Consider the following 15,140-nt stretch of genomic DNA (forward strand, 5'->3'; position numbering starts at 1 on the left):
AGCCTGGGTGACAGAGGGAGACCCTATCTCAAAAACAACATGAAACACAACAAAAACACAAAAACTACTCTCTCCTGGAATGCCCTGCTGCCACGGTTCTTCCCCTCCCCATCCTTGTCAGCCATGCCTTGGGGCATGTACTTCCCAGGATGCTCCACTGCAGGACTCCCCTACTGTCTGCTTATCTTATTTGGGAGCTACAAGCTTTGGAACTGGATTTGAAAGATGAGGATGAGGAATCACATTGAGTGTGTCTTGAAAAGTAGCATGTGTAAAACAGAGAGACAGCTTCTGATCTTAGTTGGTACAAGCCCAGAGTCTGATCCAGCGCGAGCCTCTCTTCTTTGTTCGGGTGGGCAGAGGTATTCTTTGAGATCTTTCATGAGGGAAAGCACAGGAGACCTGTCTTTCTGGGGCTGACTCCATGTACCTTAGAGCTGCTGAACCTCTCTTCCTAGATTCAGACAATAGATTGTGTATCAGTCTAGGTGATATTCAGTATTTCCCCTTTTGTGTGTGTGTGCATTTTTATATTTATTCAGTGTGAAGTTAGGAGAGCCTGTGTCAGGGACTACCAGCCATATGTCATCTTCTTTTGTGTACTGGAATTCTATAAATATTTCTTTCCCATTCTGGCTTACATATTTGTAGTCTGATGGCTGCACCTTTAAAATCTATCACAGGTTTTTTTTGTCTCCTGAAGTTTTTTTTTCTCTTGTGCAAACTCATCATGTTTACGTCTCAATAATCCAGGTGATAAATTATGCAGTTTATCTCTTGGCAAATGTCTTTCAGGGATAAACTAAAGTTTTTGCTGCAATCTCCTTGGCACCTCATATGTAGATGATATATCTTGACTAATATACAAATCACCTGAAGTAGTTACCCACAAGGAAGGGAGGGGTTCCAGCAGTTATTTATGTGACAGACTCAGTTCTCTCTGGTGTAACTGCTAAAACGAAACACATGACCTGCCTTTGGAAACATGAAGGAAGCCTGTGTCATTGCTGCCCTTGCTTTAGCAGCCTCTGCTTGGTCAACTTCTGGTGAGTTTCACATCTCAGCACTGTGTTCAGCTTTTATGTTGGCTATATAAAAAATCAAATTGCTAAACATAGAAGGAAATGTGGAGGAAATATTTATTACTCAGTGGATAAAATTGCAGGCTCTGGAGTCAGACTGCCTGGATTTAATCTTGAATTGCATTTGTTTTTATTAAACAAATTGAAATGCTTTCTGGAACAAGCCAAGTTAAAAATAAAAAGGGGAAAATTAACTTTTGTATGTTCTGTATCTGGTCACCATCATGAGTTTTTTGTTGTTGTTTTTAAAGACATCTAATAGTTTTTGAGAGAGCGTGAGTACTCATTGAAAGCATAGACTTTGGAGTAAGACAGATCTGGGTTCAAATCCGGTGCCCGCCACTTATATTTATCATTTTGGGCATATCACTTCAGCTCTCTGAAACAGTTTTGTCACCTCTTACTTTCCTTGTGTAATTATTGTGAGGAATAAGAGTGATGGTACATCATATTGTACATTTGATGCAGGAAGCTCCCTGTAACTATTGGTTGCTGTAGTTATTATTATCTTAAATTTTCTACATGGTAAAACTTCTTGTCTGCATATAATAATGTCTTTCAAGGATGATTTCTGGCATATATTTTAATACACTGACTTGAACTTCCAGGAGGTTCATTAAAACTATTTTATTTTAATTATCCTTATTTTATTCTTAATTTTAATGAGAAAATCTTCAGATTTTACCATAAGTAAGGTGTTAACATTTGTATAAGATGGACATTTTTTTAATCAGAGAAGTTAGATTGGTATCTATTTTTAGTGTAATAAACTTGTTACATTTTAAATATGGTAAATGGGTACTTTTTCTATTCTTTCTTTCACCTCTTTCTTTCTTTCCTCCTTTCTTTCTTTCCTTCTTTCTCTCTCTTTTTATTTTTTTATTGAGACGGAGTCTTGCTCCGTTGCCCAGGCTGGAGTGCAGCGGCATTTTCTTCTTGGCTCACTGCAACGTCCGCCACCTGGGTTCAAGCGATTCTCCTGCCTCAGCCTCCTGAGTAGCTAGGATTACAGGCTTGCCACCCAGCTAATTTTTTTTTTTATTTTTTTATTTTTAGTAGAGACAGGGTTTCACTGCGTTAGCCAGGATGGTCTCGATCTCCTGACTTCATGATCCACCCGCCTTGGCCTCCCAAAAGTGCTGGGATTACAGGCATGAGCCACCACACCCAGCCTCTCTCTGTGTTCTTTTCTTTGAAGGTTTGAAATACCTACTAAGTCATTTGGGTCTTTTCTGAAGTTATTTCTTTCAAAACTTTTATTTTATTCAATTATAGGCTTTTTAAAAAATAAAAACCCAAATTATCCATTTGAAGTTTCAAAACCTGTTTGAGTTGACATGTAGTATTTCACTTACACAATTTTTTAAAGTTTTCAAACTGTTTTATCTCTTTCCTCTGTTTTTTTTTTTTTTTTTTTCTTTTAAGACAAAGTCTCACTCTGTCTCCCAGGCTGGAGCGCAGTGGCACGATCTCGGCTCACTGCAACCCCTGCCTCCCAGGTTCAAGCAATTCTCATGCCTCAGCCTCCTGAGTAGCTAGGATTACAGGTGCACGCCACCATGCCCAGCTAATTTTTGTATTTTTAGTAGAGACGGGGTTTCACCATGTTGGTCAGGCTGGTCTCAAACTCCTGACCTCAGGTGATCCACCCACCTTGGCTTCCCAAAGTGCTAGGATTACCAGCATGAGCCACCACGCCCAGCCTCTTTCCTCTGTTTTAAAAATTATTTTTCTTTTTTCTTGATTAGTTGCTGATTTTGTGTTATCTTATTTTTTCTCAAAAGCACCAGACTTTAAATTTTATTTCATTTTTAATTCTACAGCTTTTCTCTTTTCTGATTATCTTTTTAATAACAACTCGAGATATAACTTATATATACCAAAAAATTCATCATTTTAGGCCGGGTGCGGTGGCTCATGCCTGTAATTCTAGCACTTTGGGAGGCTGAGGCAGGCGGATTGTCTGAGCTCCGGTGTTCAAGACCAGCCTGGGCAACATGGCGAAATTCTGTCTCTACTAAAAATACAAAAAATTAGTCGGGTGTGGTGGTGCACATCTGTAATCCCAGCTGCCCAGGAGGTGGAGGTTGCAGTGAGCCAAAATCATGTCACTGCACTCCAGACGGGGTGACAGAGTGGAACTCAGTTTCAAAAAAAAAAAAATTCACCATTTGGAAGTGTCTAGTGATTTTTAGCATCTTCCCAGAATTGTGCAACCATCTGATTCCTTACTTTTTTTACTTTTGGTTTATTGTTTTCTCCTTTCTGCTTTCTTTGAGGTTGCTTTTGTTCCTGTTCTTACTTGTTGGGCTAATACTTTATTGTTATTTCTTTTAAAATAATGAAATAAAGTTTGTGCATTTATCCCCTTAACATAGCTTTGGCTACATCCAATCGATTTTGTTATATACTTTACTCAATTTTGATAGCATTTTAAATTAGTCTGTATAGAAAAGCTTAGTACGGGCAGGGTATAGGGGCTCACACCTGTAATCATAACACTATGGGAGACAGAGGTGGGATGATCACTTGAGGACATGAGTTCAAGACCGGCCTGGGCAACATAGCGAGACCCCCCCCCCATCTCTACCAATAGAAAAAAATTAAAACATTAAAAATTTAAAAAGACAAGTTTAATACAGAAGTATAAAAAAAGCATAGAACAGGCCAGGTGCCGTGGCTCATGCCTGTAATCCCAGCATTTTGGGAGGCTGAGGCGAGCAGATCACCTGAGGTCGGGAGTTCAAGACCAGCCTGGCCAGCATGGTGAAACCCTGTCTCTACTAAAAATACAAAATTAGTCGGGTGCAGTGGTATGTGCCTGTAATCCCAGCTATTCGGGAGGCTGAGGCACAAGAATCGCTTGAACCTGGGAGGTGGAGGTTGCAATGGGCTGAGATCATGCCACTGCACTCCAGCCTAGGTGACAGAGCAAGACTGCCTCAAAAAAAAAAAAAAAAGTATAGAACAGCTCAAAGAAAAATTTTAAAGTCACCTGTAATCCAATTATAAGTACATTTATATTTTGGCTTATTTCCTTTCAACCACTTTTTTTTGGCACATATAATTTAAAATGTATACCCAGAAATAAATATTTTACCAGTAGGTTCATATTGTTTTTTATTTTCTTAAGAAAGAAGCTTTATATATATTATGTTTAATTGCATAGACTCCCATTTAATTTAACATTACTTAATTATTGTGAATGTTTTCCATGTCTTCAAAAACAACTTTTTGAGGCCGGGTGTGGTATCTCATGTCTGTAATCCCAATCATGGGTGGCTGAGGCGGGTGGATCGTTTGAGTCTAGGAGTTCGAGACCAGCCTGGCCAACATGGTGAAACCCCGTCTCTATAAAAAATACAAAAAATTAGCTGGGCGTAGTGGCACATGCCTGTGGTCCCAGCTACTCAGGAAGCTTGAGCTCAGGAAGTTGAGGCTGCAGTGAACCTTGACTGTACCACTGCACTTCAGCCTGGGTGACAGAGTAAGCCCATCTCAAAAAACAGACCAAAAAAAATAGATAAATATTGGAATTCATAGCTCAATTTTAAAATTGGCTTCTAAATAATAATACCTTATATTAATAGTAATGTGTCTCATTCACTTACACTGGTGTACATTTGGAAAATAACTGGGAAGTGGCATTGCTCAAATAAGCATTGCAAAGGTTATAAAGTATTAGGTTATTGTCACTGAAGCATGGGGAATACCTTTTTCAAATTGAACTGGTGAAGACGAACTGTTGGCCACATTTATGTTTTCAAATTGTAGAATAAATATGTATGTGTGTATGTATTTACATATTCAGCCTTATATTGTTTAATTCAGTGTCTATTCAAAAACTGTCTTATCTAAAATAGTCTTACATTCTATCCCAGCTCTTGCTCTTTTTAAAGTAGAACCCATCACTTCTCGACTTAATTTCATGTATGTATGCATGTATATGCATTTGCATATTGTCTGTCTATACTAGTCAGTTTTCTTTTAAGTCTGCGTCTGGCTTGGTGTCATGGTAATACTGACCTCACATAATTAATTAGAAAGTGTTCCCTCCTCTTGCATTTTTTTTTTTTGGAAGAGATTTGAAGGATCGGCAGGCATATAAGAATAGATACTGTGTGATTGATTCCATTTATTTGAAGATAAACATGAGACAAAACTAATATATGGTGTTAGCAATTAGGAGGGGTTGTGGAGTGGGCTTCTGGGATACCTGTAATATCATCTTTCTTGACCTAGGTGGTGATGTTTGATCTGGATACATCTGATCACTGTTTCTGAATGTATGTTACATGTCAATAAAAAGCAGTGTCATGCTAAGTGCAAGGCAGAAGTGGATTGCCCCCAGTGCAGGCAATAAAGGGGTACACTGTAGTAAATTTTAAAACAATAATAAAACAGGCTAAAAAAATTCTTTAAGGCTTTCATCTCTAATATCTGTTCGTACTTTAACTTATAAAAGGAAAATGATTTTTTTTATTTGTGGAAACATCATAATGAAAGGCAATTTATATTCAGTATACTTTATGAATTAATAGCTTACTTTGTACTATGGAGTATCTTTATGCTGTCAATTAGATTTCATGTAATAACCTTTGAGGAATTGTATTAGACAAGATGGCTGTGTATAATTTGAGTTGAGAAACAGATTCACCTTCAGCCTAGAGCACAGATTGGCCTTGGAGTTAATTTAATTAACGAATTGTTCTTACCTGTTTCTGGGGGCAACTACTTAGCTGCCTCTATGTGATTCTAGAATGATAAATAAAGGAACAGAGAGGCCGGGCACGGTGGCTCACGCCTGCAATCCCAGCACTTTGGGAGGCCAATGTGGGTGGATCACCTGAGGTAAGGAGTTTGAGACCAGCCTGGCCAACATGGTGAAACCCTGTCTCTACTAAAAATTCAAAAATTAGCCGGGCACGGTGGTGGGCACCTGTAGTCCCACCTACTCGGGAGGCTGAAGCTGGAGAATCACTTGAACCAGGAGACGGAGGTTGCAGTGAGCCGAGATCAAGCCACTGCACTCCAGCCTGGGTGACAAAGCGAGACTGTCTCAAAAATAAATAAAGGAACAGAGACAGTATTGGGGGGCAGCATCATGATATGGGAGCAAAGCAGTCCTATGAACTGCTGTCTTCTCCCCTGGCTGATCATATGTTAAGTTGTTATAGCCAGTGGGTTAAGTGAATGCAAGTTTTAAAATGTTGCAGGTAACCTCCATTCCCGTGACCTAGTGTTTCCAGAGAGGGCAGCCTGTTAGTCAGGGGACTAACAGTTTAACCTCCCTTTTCATCTAGTGGGAGGGATAATCTGAATAAGTGAGACAGGGAGAAGAAACTGAGGTTGTGTGTCAGACCCTTCTGAGCATTCTCTCTTTCTGAGCAGGCTGTCCTCAGTTTTTTACATGATCTCTACTTAAGAGCATTTCTAACCCGTGATGGGAGGATGCAGGGTCAATCCATGGGTGAAAGGACTAGGTGAATAGATTGAATTTAGAGGTGGAGTGATTAGAAAGTACACTTGGGTGTTGATTCAAGCTACAGTCTTCAGTTTAGCTCCACCAGTTCCACAGCTGATATTTTGATTTCCATCTTTCTGATTCCAATGTCTTTTTGTTCTCATTTGGTTTTAGAACTGAGAGAAATTGACAAAGGAGTGATTGATTATCATCCCTCATACTCCAGTAGTTGTGTTTAGGTCTGTTTCTTTTATTTATTTTTTTGAGACAGGGTCTCCCTCTGTCACCAAGGCTGGAGTGCAGTAGCGTGATCTCGGCTCACTGCAGCCTCTACCTCCCAGGCTCAAGTGATCCTCTCACCTCAGCCTCCCAAGTAGCTGGGACTACAGGCACCAACCACCACGCCCAGCTAATTTTTGTATTTTTTGTAGAGACAGGGTTTCTCCATGTTGCCCAGGCTGGTCTCGAACTCCTGGGCTCAAGTGATCCACCCGCCTTGGCCTCCCAAAGTGCTGGAATTACATGCATGAGCCGCCACGCCCAGCCTTGGCCTCACAAAGTACTCAGATTATAGAAGGTTTGTTTATGATAAATATTTATAGTTTAGTAGTATTTTTTAACCTAATCTGAAAGTCAGCCTTTTATTTGGAGAGTATAAAGATTTACATTTATAGTCATAATTGATGTGTGTTTGACTGTTATTCTGTCAATTTGATTTATGCTTTTAGATGCCACTTAATGCATTTAAAGTCATTTTGGTCAAATAGGTCTAATTGGTGGCAAGTCTGTCCTGCTGATTAATTAATTCTGTGTGGGGTCCTTCACTGCCAAGCATTAAGGTCATTTGCTTCAATAATATCTTATAGGTGCTGTTCCAGAATTCAAAGAAGAGAAACTGCAGCTGCAACCAAAACCACGTTCTGGAGCTGTGGAAGAAACATTTAGAATTGTTAAGGACTCTCTCAGTGATGATGTTGTTAAAGCCACTCAAGCAATCTATCTGTTTGAACTCTCCGGTAAGGACTGCATCTGGTAATCTGAAGTTTTTATGAAACAAAATGGGGTGTTTCCTTTGGAAGAAAATCAGCGTCCAACAGTGATCCCCTGGATAGTTGGCTGCATTCAAGACCCTTACTCTTGAATGTAGACATTCAAGAACAGCAACCATAACTATTGATTTGTTTTTGTTGTTGTTGTGTCTTTGAGATGGAGTCTTTGTCACCCAGGCTGGAGAGCAATGGCATGATCATGGCTCACTTCGGCCTTGACCTCCTGGACTCAAGTAATCCTCTGACCTCAGCCTCCCAATGATTTTTATTTCTAGATTAAGATCAGTGCGTACGGACACATGTAAAGTAAAATTTTATTACAAATACTCCCAGTGTTATATAACTCTGGCATATTTGAGAGAAAATCCTGCTTAGAAGGGCATATGGATCATGACAGGTAGTATGATACAGTAATTTATCAACCATAGGCACCTTGCCATTTTTATCTTTGACATTAACCAGGTCGGTCTGACGGTAGTCAGCTTTTTTTCACTTTTTTTATTTTTAAAAATTTATAATTATTTTTTTGCAATGGAGTCTCGCTTTGTTGCCCAGGCTGGAGTGCAGTGGTGGGATCTGGGCTCACTGCAACCTCTGCCTCCTGGGTTCAAGTGATTCTCCTGCCTCAGCCTCCCAAGTAGCTGGGATTAAAGGCACCCACCACCACACATGGCTAATTTTTGTATTTTTAGTAGAGGTGGGGTTTTGCCATGTTGCCCAGGCTGGTCTCAAACTCCTAGCCTCAAGCAATCCTCCTGCCTCAGCCTCCCAAAGTGCTGAGATTGCAGGTGTGAGCCATTGTGCCCAGATGGTAGTTAGCTTTTAAAAATCTCTTAATATTGTTCTTCTCCATATAAAATTTACACGTTAATAATAGTGTAAGAACTAGCTGCCAGGGATGGTGGCGTGCAGCTGTAATCCCAGCTACTCAGGAGGCTGAGGCTGGAGGATCACTTGAGCCCAGGAGATCAAGACTGTAGTACACTGCGATCGCATCTGTGAATAACCACTGCACTCCAGCCTGGGCAACATAGTGAGACCCATCTCAAACAAATAAAAGTTAAGAAACAGATAAAATTCGTGTTAAAAAAAAAAAGGCTACCTCAGCCCCATTATACACAAACCTTTTTTATTCTTCGTCCTCTCTGCTTTATCTTAGTCCATCTTGCCTTCCTGTTCTTACTTCCTTGCCATCCTTGGAATCCATCATCCATGGCTTTAGTCACTCTCTTGCTTGTGTCCTAAACTTGCTGGACCCTTTGTGCTTATGCCATCACCTGTCAAAAGCCTAGTCCTGGCTGAATCAAACTCTCTGGCTGCTCCACAGTTGTATCCAGGTTGCAAAGTTTTGGGGGAGGAAAGCTAAAAAAAATCACACCACCTGGGTGGATCTGTACCAGTAGAAATTGACTATTGCCCCGCTTCAGCTGAGGTTTAAGCAACACTTCAGAATTCTGTGTTTTTGTGGTCAGCTTACTGCTGCATTTTCCATAGTGACTATCTTAAACTTTCTCAGTGTTCCTGAAATCTCCCATCTCTCCCTTCACCTCTTCCCTGCCAGTGTCAGCAGATAATTCCACTTGCTCTTTGACAGAGGTAATAGAAACCTACAGACAAAAATGCCTTCAGCTTCCTGCCATCAGATATCAAATCAATCATGATAGGCATCATCCTTGCCTCCTTCCCTCTTAGTAGAATGGAGCTCAGCTCTCCATCAGTGCATCTCAAGCTCTAATGTCTATACCAAGTACCTGGGATCTTCCTAAAATGCAAAATAATGATTCAGCAGGTCTGGAGTGGAGTCTGAGATTCTGCATGTCTGACAGGTAATGACAGTATTGCAGTCCATGGATCATACTTGGAAGCAAAGTTCTAGATCCCATTTTCCCTGGCCTTCTCAGGAATTTTGTGCTGTTAATTGAACCTTGTCCTCAATCTGTTCATCTTGCAGCCTCCTTCCCAATGGTATTTTAATGTTCTCAATTCTTTTCTAACTTTAAAACAGAACCCAGTGACAATAACAAACCACACAGCCCATCTTTTTTCTCCTTTTCAGAGCCAGACTTATTTTCATCTACAACTCATTCCCCTGAACACACCCTGCTGATACCATTTGTTTCCATTTCACATAATTGGTTTTCAGCAAGGTCCTTGATGACTTCCCTGTCACCAGTGGGCCTGTGTCATTCCTCCCTTGTGACCACTCTGCAGCATTTGATACTGTTGACCACACTTTCCTTCTGGAAATGCTCCTTCCCCAGTCCTTCATTGTAACCTCCTTGCTTTCCTTCCCTGCCTGTGATCACACCTTGTCAGTCTCCCTTGCTGGCTGCTTCTCCTCTATCCTTCCCTTAAGCAATGTTCTTCAGGTCACTGGCTCAGCACTCTCGACACTCTATTCCTGACACTTTCTCTAGGAAACCCCAACCATTCACGCGGCTTCAATGACCATAGGAACCGACTGATTATGTGTCCCTGTTTCTAGCTTAGCCAGACTTCATTTGACATTTTTAGTTAACTGTCACAAAGATGCCTCAGCCTGAAAACGTCCAAAACAACCATTCCCAGGAAATGGTTTTTTTGCAACCACCCATGAAATCTGCTGAGTGTCTGGCTTGCTGTGTCTCTTGGGCAGTGTCGATCCACACCCTCTCTCTGCATGCCTTGAAAAATTGTGGAAATCCCTGGGTGGCTCGTGCCTATTATCCCAGCACTTTGGAAGGCCGAGGTGGGCAGATCAACAGAGGTCAAGACCAGCTTGGCCAACATGGCAAAACCTCATCTCTACTAAAAAATATAAAAATTAGCCGGGCTTGGTGGCGCGTGCCTGTAGTCCCAGCTACTTGGGAGGCTGAGGCAGGAGAATCGCTTGAACCCCGGAGGCGGAGGTTGCGGTGAGCCCAGATCGCATCACTGCACTCCAGCTTGGGCAACAGAGCGAGACTCTGACTCAAAAAAAGAAAGAAAAAAAAATGGAGGAAATCAAGCGCTTTCTGCTCAGATCCAGGCAAGTGGATGCCGTATCTGTCAAGATCAAGAAAAATAAAGTTCACAGCAGCAGGATTATACTTTGGTTGTCACAAAGAGAAGGCAGAGAAACAAGCTGAAGCAGTCTCTGCCCCTTGGTTTGACAGTGAAGGAGCTGAGATGAACCAGACGTGCTGGTTTGAGCTGTATTAAAATTTTAAACGTTGCCTGTAATCCCAGCACTCTGGGAGGCCAATCACTTGAGCTCAGGAGTTCGAGACCAGGCTGGGTAACATAGTGAGACCCTGTCTCTACAAAAATAAAAATAAAAAATTAGCTGGATCTGGTGATGTGTGCCTATAATCCCAGCTACTTGGGAGGCTGAGATGGGAAGACAGCTTAAGCCCAGAAGGTCGAGGCTGCAGTGAGTGATGATCATGCCACTTCACTCTAGCCTAGGCAACAGAGCAAGACCCTGTCTTAAAAAATTAAAAATCAAGCAATCTGCTGTTCTTCAGTAGTCTTCTCTCACTTAAAAAACAAATCCACCCAAGCCAAGAACTAGCAGATCATTCCTATATACCCTCCCCACCTTTTCCTCTTCATATGCAGTTACCTAGTCTTATGGTTCTGCCTTGACATTCTCTCTCAAATGTACCCACTTTTCTCCATGCCTCTGCCATGGTCCCAGTCCAGGCATGCACCCTCAAGCTCCTGAACTATCCCAACACCATCCTTACTAGCCCTCTGCATCCTTTTGATTTCTCTCCATTTATTATCTACACTGCAGGTAGGGCCATACGTAAACCTTACCATATCATCTTCCTTCCATGACACATCCTGTAGGATGAAGTCATTTAATCCTTTACATGACTGGCTGTGCTCAGACCTAGACTGCCTCACAAGCTCATCCAACACCCATCTACCTTCTAGTGCCACTGTTTTTTTTTTTCAGTTCCTCACACGTGCTGCACTCTTGATTCTGGCTTTTTTGCATGTGCTGTTCCCATTGCCTGAAATACTTTCCCTCTACCCTGTCCATCTAGCTAATTCTTACTTAACTTTCAAATCTCAGCTTCAACTGAGCTTTCCTGACCCTTTTTGAAAACTTAATTTTGCATCGCAGTAAAAAATACATAACATTTTAACCACTTCTTCTTTTTTTTTTTTTTTTCTTTTGAGACGGAGTTTTGCTCTTGTTGCCCCAAGCTGGAGTGCAATGGCGCGATCTTGGCTCACTGCAACCTCTGCCCCCAAGGTTCAAACAATTCTCTTGCCTCAGCCTCCCAAGTAGCTGGGATTATAGGCACTCCCCACCACACCTGGCTAATTTTTTGTATTTTTAGTAGAAACGGGGTTTCACCATGTTGGCCAGGCTGGTCTTGAACTCCTGACCTCAGGTCATCTGCCCACCCTTGCCTCCCAAAGAGTCAGGATTACAGGTATGAGCCACCATGCTCGGCCTATTTTAACCACTTCTAAGTGTACAGCTTAGTAGCATTAAATGCATTCACATTGTTTTATAACAATCATCACCTGCCGGGCACGGTATCTCATGCCTGTAATCCCAGCACTTTGGGAGGCCGAGGTGGGCAGATCACGAGGTCAGGAGATCGAGACCATCCTGGCTAACATGGTGAGACCCCGTCTCTACTAAAAATACAAAAAATTAGCTGGGTGTGGTGGCGGGCACCTGTAGTCCCAGCTACTAGGGAGGCTGAGGCAGGAGAATAGCATGAACCCGGGAGGCGGAGCTTGCAGTGAGCCGAGATCGCGCCACTGCACTCCAGCCTGGGCGACAGAGCTAGACTCCATCTCCAAAAAAAAGAAAAGAAAAAGAAAACAAAAAACAAAAACAAAAACAAAAACAAAACAATCATCACCATCTATCTCCAGAACTTTTTCATCATTCCAAGTGAAACTCTGTACCCATTAAACAGTTAACTCCCATTCCCCATCCCCCAGTCCCTGGAAACCACTGTTCTACTTTCTGTCTTTATGAGTTTTCTTCCTCTGGTTATCTTGATTCCTTAATGTGCTCCCACATCACCCTCTACTTCCTCTTTTGTGAGTAGAACCATGGTTTTCTTTTTATTGAAGAGTCTTCAGAGCCTAGCAGAATACCTGGACGTGCTTAATAAATATTTGCTGAATTTGACTGATGGAGGTCTGGGGATTTTAACTTGGAAAACAGCATTTTGTAAGATTATTCTAATTGAAGTAATTATTAAATTTAAGAAGAACAGGGCTTCTATGACATTGATTTCTATATGTTTATCTCTCTAGGTGAAGATGGTGGCACGTGGTTTCTTGATCTGAAAAGCAAGGGTGGGAATGTCGGATATGGAGAGCCTTCTGATCAGGCAGATGTGGTGATGAGTATGACTACTGATGACTTTGTAAAAATGTTTTCAGGTGAGTTTTCCAGTTTATTAGTTTACCTTATTGTTCAGAGAAAATTTAGTTCTGACATTTTGCTTTATCCCTTCCCAAATAATCAAGACTTGTAAATGTTGGCAGCAGTGGAATCTTAGTTTTGGGAAGGCTGTTCTTACTGTTGCCTCCATTGCCACTTCTCCCTCCTCTCACAAGTGGAAGGTAGATGTCAGAATTATTTTCTTCCATTACTGAGAAGCCAGTAATATAATGTTGGGAACAGTGAGATAATTCAAAGGGACTCCTGGGTGGGCTTCATCATATTAGCTGGCCTAAGGTATTATGTTTCCAATAACACCCCAGTCACTAGAGGCACTGAACTCAGTAGCAGCAGTTCGCTTATTGGGAGTAGGGTTGTGCTTCCATCTTGCCAGCTGTTTCAATAGGAAACACATACCAGCCCTTGGCCATGGCCTAGTGACCCTGCTTTCTGGGGAGTCCTAAACCCAGAGAACCTTTTGTGTGATTTTCTATTCTGTCCATTTACCTCTAACTGTGCCAGAAAATTAAGGATAATTTTCTCTTTTCTACTCTTAGAAAACTACTCCAAATGATAAGTTAATTAACTCAAATTCTAAAAAATTAGAAGCAGCACTTGAAACTAAGCATAACATCCTGATCTAAAGAGTCTTTCATGGAGTGAATTATAAATGTTATTCAGACTTTGTTCTGTTTTAATCTTTTCTAAGCAGGAACATGGTGTATTCTGTGCCCTCTAAGTCTTTCTTTACAGTTCTAATTCAGGATGCTAATTGCCTGCATTCCATCTGAGTCAATCTGTATACGGTGTACTAATGATCAGCATTTCTTCAACTTTTCCCTTTTTTTATAGTGGTGTTAAATGTTCATATAAAAATTAGAAAATATAGGCCAGGCCTGGTGGCTCGCGCCTGGAATCCCAATGCTTTGGGAGGCCAAGGTGGGAGGATCACTTGCGCCCAGGAGTTTGAGACCAGCCTGGGCAACATGGGGAAACCCTGTCTCTACAGAAAATACAAAAATTGGTTGGGTGTGCTGGTGCGCACCTGTAGTCCCCAGCTACTCCAGTTAAGGTAGGAGGATTGCCTGAGCCCAGAGGTGAAGGCTGCAGTAAGTTGAGATAACACCACCGCACTCCAGCCTGGGCGGCAGAATGAAACCGTCTCAAAAAAAGAGAAAGTATACCTAAGAAAAAAGAAAATAAAATTATTTTTACCATACCACTGAAAGATGACCATAATATACATATGTATGATGCTAAACCATAACCAAACCAAAATATGGTTTAGCATCTATATATGTATATTATGCTCATCTTATTATGGTTTGCATAATTTGGTTTAGCATCATACATATGTATATTTGTATGTGTGTGTTAGTGTATATAAATATACATGTGTGCTTATAAAAACAGGATCATACCATTACTACTGTTTGGCAGTCTTTTTCACTTAATACATTATAACATCTTTCAATGTTTATCATTGGTTATCCCTTTAATGAATTTTTTTTTTTTGAGACGGAGTTTTGCTCTTGTTGCCCAGGCTGGAGTGCAATGGTGTTAACCTTGGTTCACTGCAACCTCTGCCTTCCGGGTTCAAGCAATTCTCCTGCCTCAGCCTCCAGAGTCGCTGGGATTACAGGTGCCCGCCACCATGCCTGGCTAATTTTTTGTACTTTTAGTAAAGACAGGGTTTCACCATATTGGCCAGGCTGGTCTCGAATTGCTGACCTCAGGTGATCCACCCGCCTTGGCCTCCCAAAGTGCTGGTATTACAAATGTGAGCCACCGCGCCCGGCCCCTTTAATGATTTTTAATAGTTTAGTGTTTCTTCAGTGTTTCAACAACTATTTCTCCATAGAGCTTAAACACAGTGCTTTGGACACATTTAATAAACGCTCAATGAATGTTTGGTGAATCGGAATCTTATAAATATTTGTTTTAACATGAAGACCATTTAAAATAAAAATGTATTGTCAACTTCTAAATGGAAATAACAGTAATTATGTATGATTTATTTATTGCATGATTGCTACAGGTTAAGCAATACTCCCAACAGTTCTTTCCAATAAAATATGTTCTCCATTTTATAGCAGTAAGTACTGAGGCTTTGAAGAATTAAATAATAAGCCCAAGGTCAGCTGATGAATGAGAAAATAGAG

At 41.2% G+C, this 15,140-nt stretch overlaps 1 protein-coding gene and 1 long non-coding RNA gene across 8 annotated transcripts in view; one reads left to right on the forward strand and one right to left on the reverse strand.

The window, feature by feature from the left end:
• HSDL2 (hydroxysteroid dehydrogenase like 2) overlaps positions 1–15,140 on the forward strand; it is a 92,298-nt gene that overhangs the window by 66,493 nt on the left and 10,665 nt on the right. For all 5 annotated transcript variants that reach the window (NR_036651.2, NM_032303.5, NM_001195822.2 and 2 more), the window contains 2 exons: positions 7,413–7,562; positions 12,849–12,977. Coding sequence is in view for 4 of the 5 variants with exons in the window: in NM_032303.5 (NP_115679.2) it covers positions 7,413–7,562; positions 12,849–12,977 (279 nt within the window). In the remaining variant the exon portion in view is untranslated. The remainder of the gene's footprint in view (positions 1–7,412; positions 7,563–12,848; positions 12,978–15,140) is intronic.
• HSDL2-AS1 (HSDL2 antisense RNA 1) overlaps positions 5,198–15,140 on the reverse strand; it is a 35,847-nt gene continuing 25,904 nt past the window's right edge. Inside the window, exons 4-5 of one of the 3 annotated variants that reach the window (NR_171779.1) lie at positions 14,024–14,162; positions 5,198–7,472 (exon numbers count right to left, since the gene is read on the reverse strand). This is a non-coding gene — a long non-coding RNA (HSDL2 antisense RNA 1). The remainder of the gene's footprint in view (positions 7,473–14,023; positions 14,163–15,140) is intronic. The other 2 variants (NR_171778.1, NR_171777.1) reach the window with 2 other exon arrangements.

This window comes from Homo sapiens, chromosome 9 (assembly GCF_000001405.40).
Source record: "Homo sapiens chromosome 9, GRCh38.p14 Primary Assembly".
NCBI lineage: Eukaryota > Metazoa > Chordata > Mammalia > Primates > Hominidae > Homo > Homo sapiens.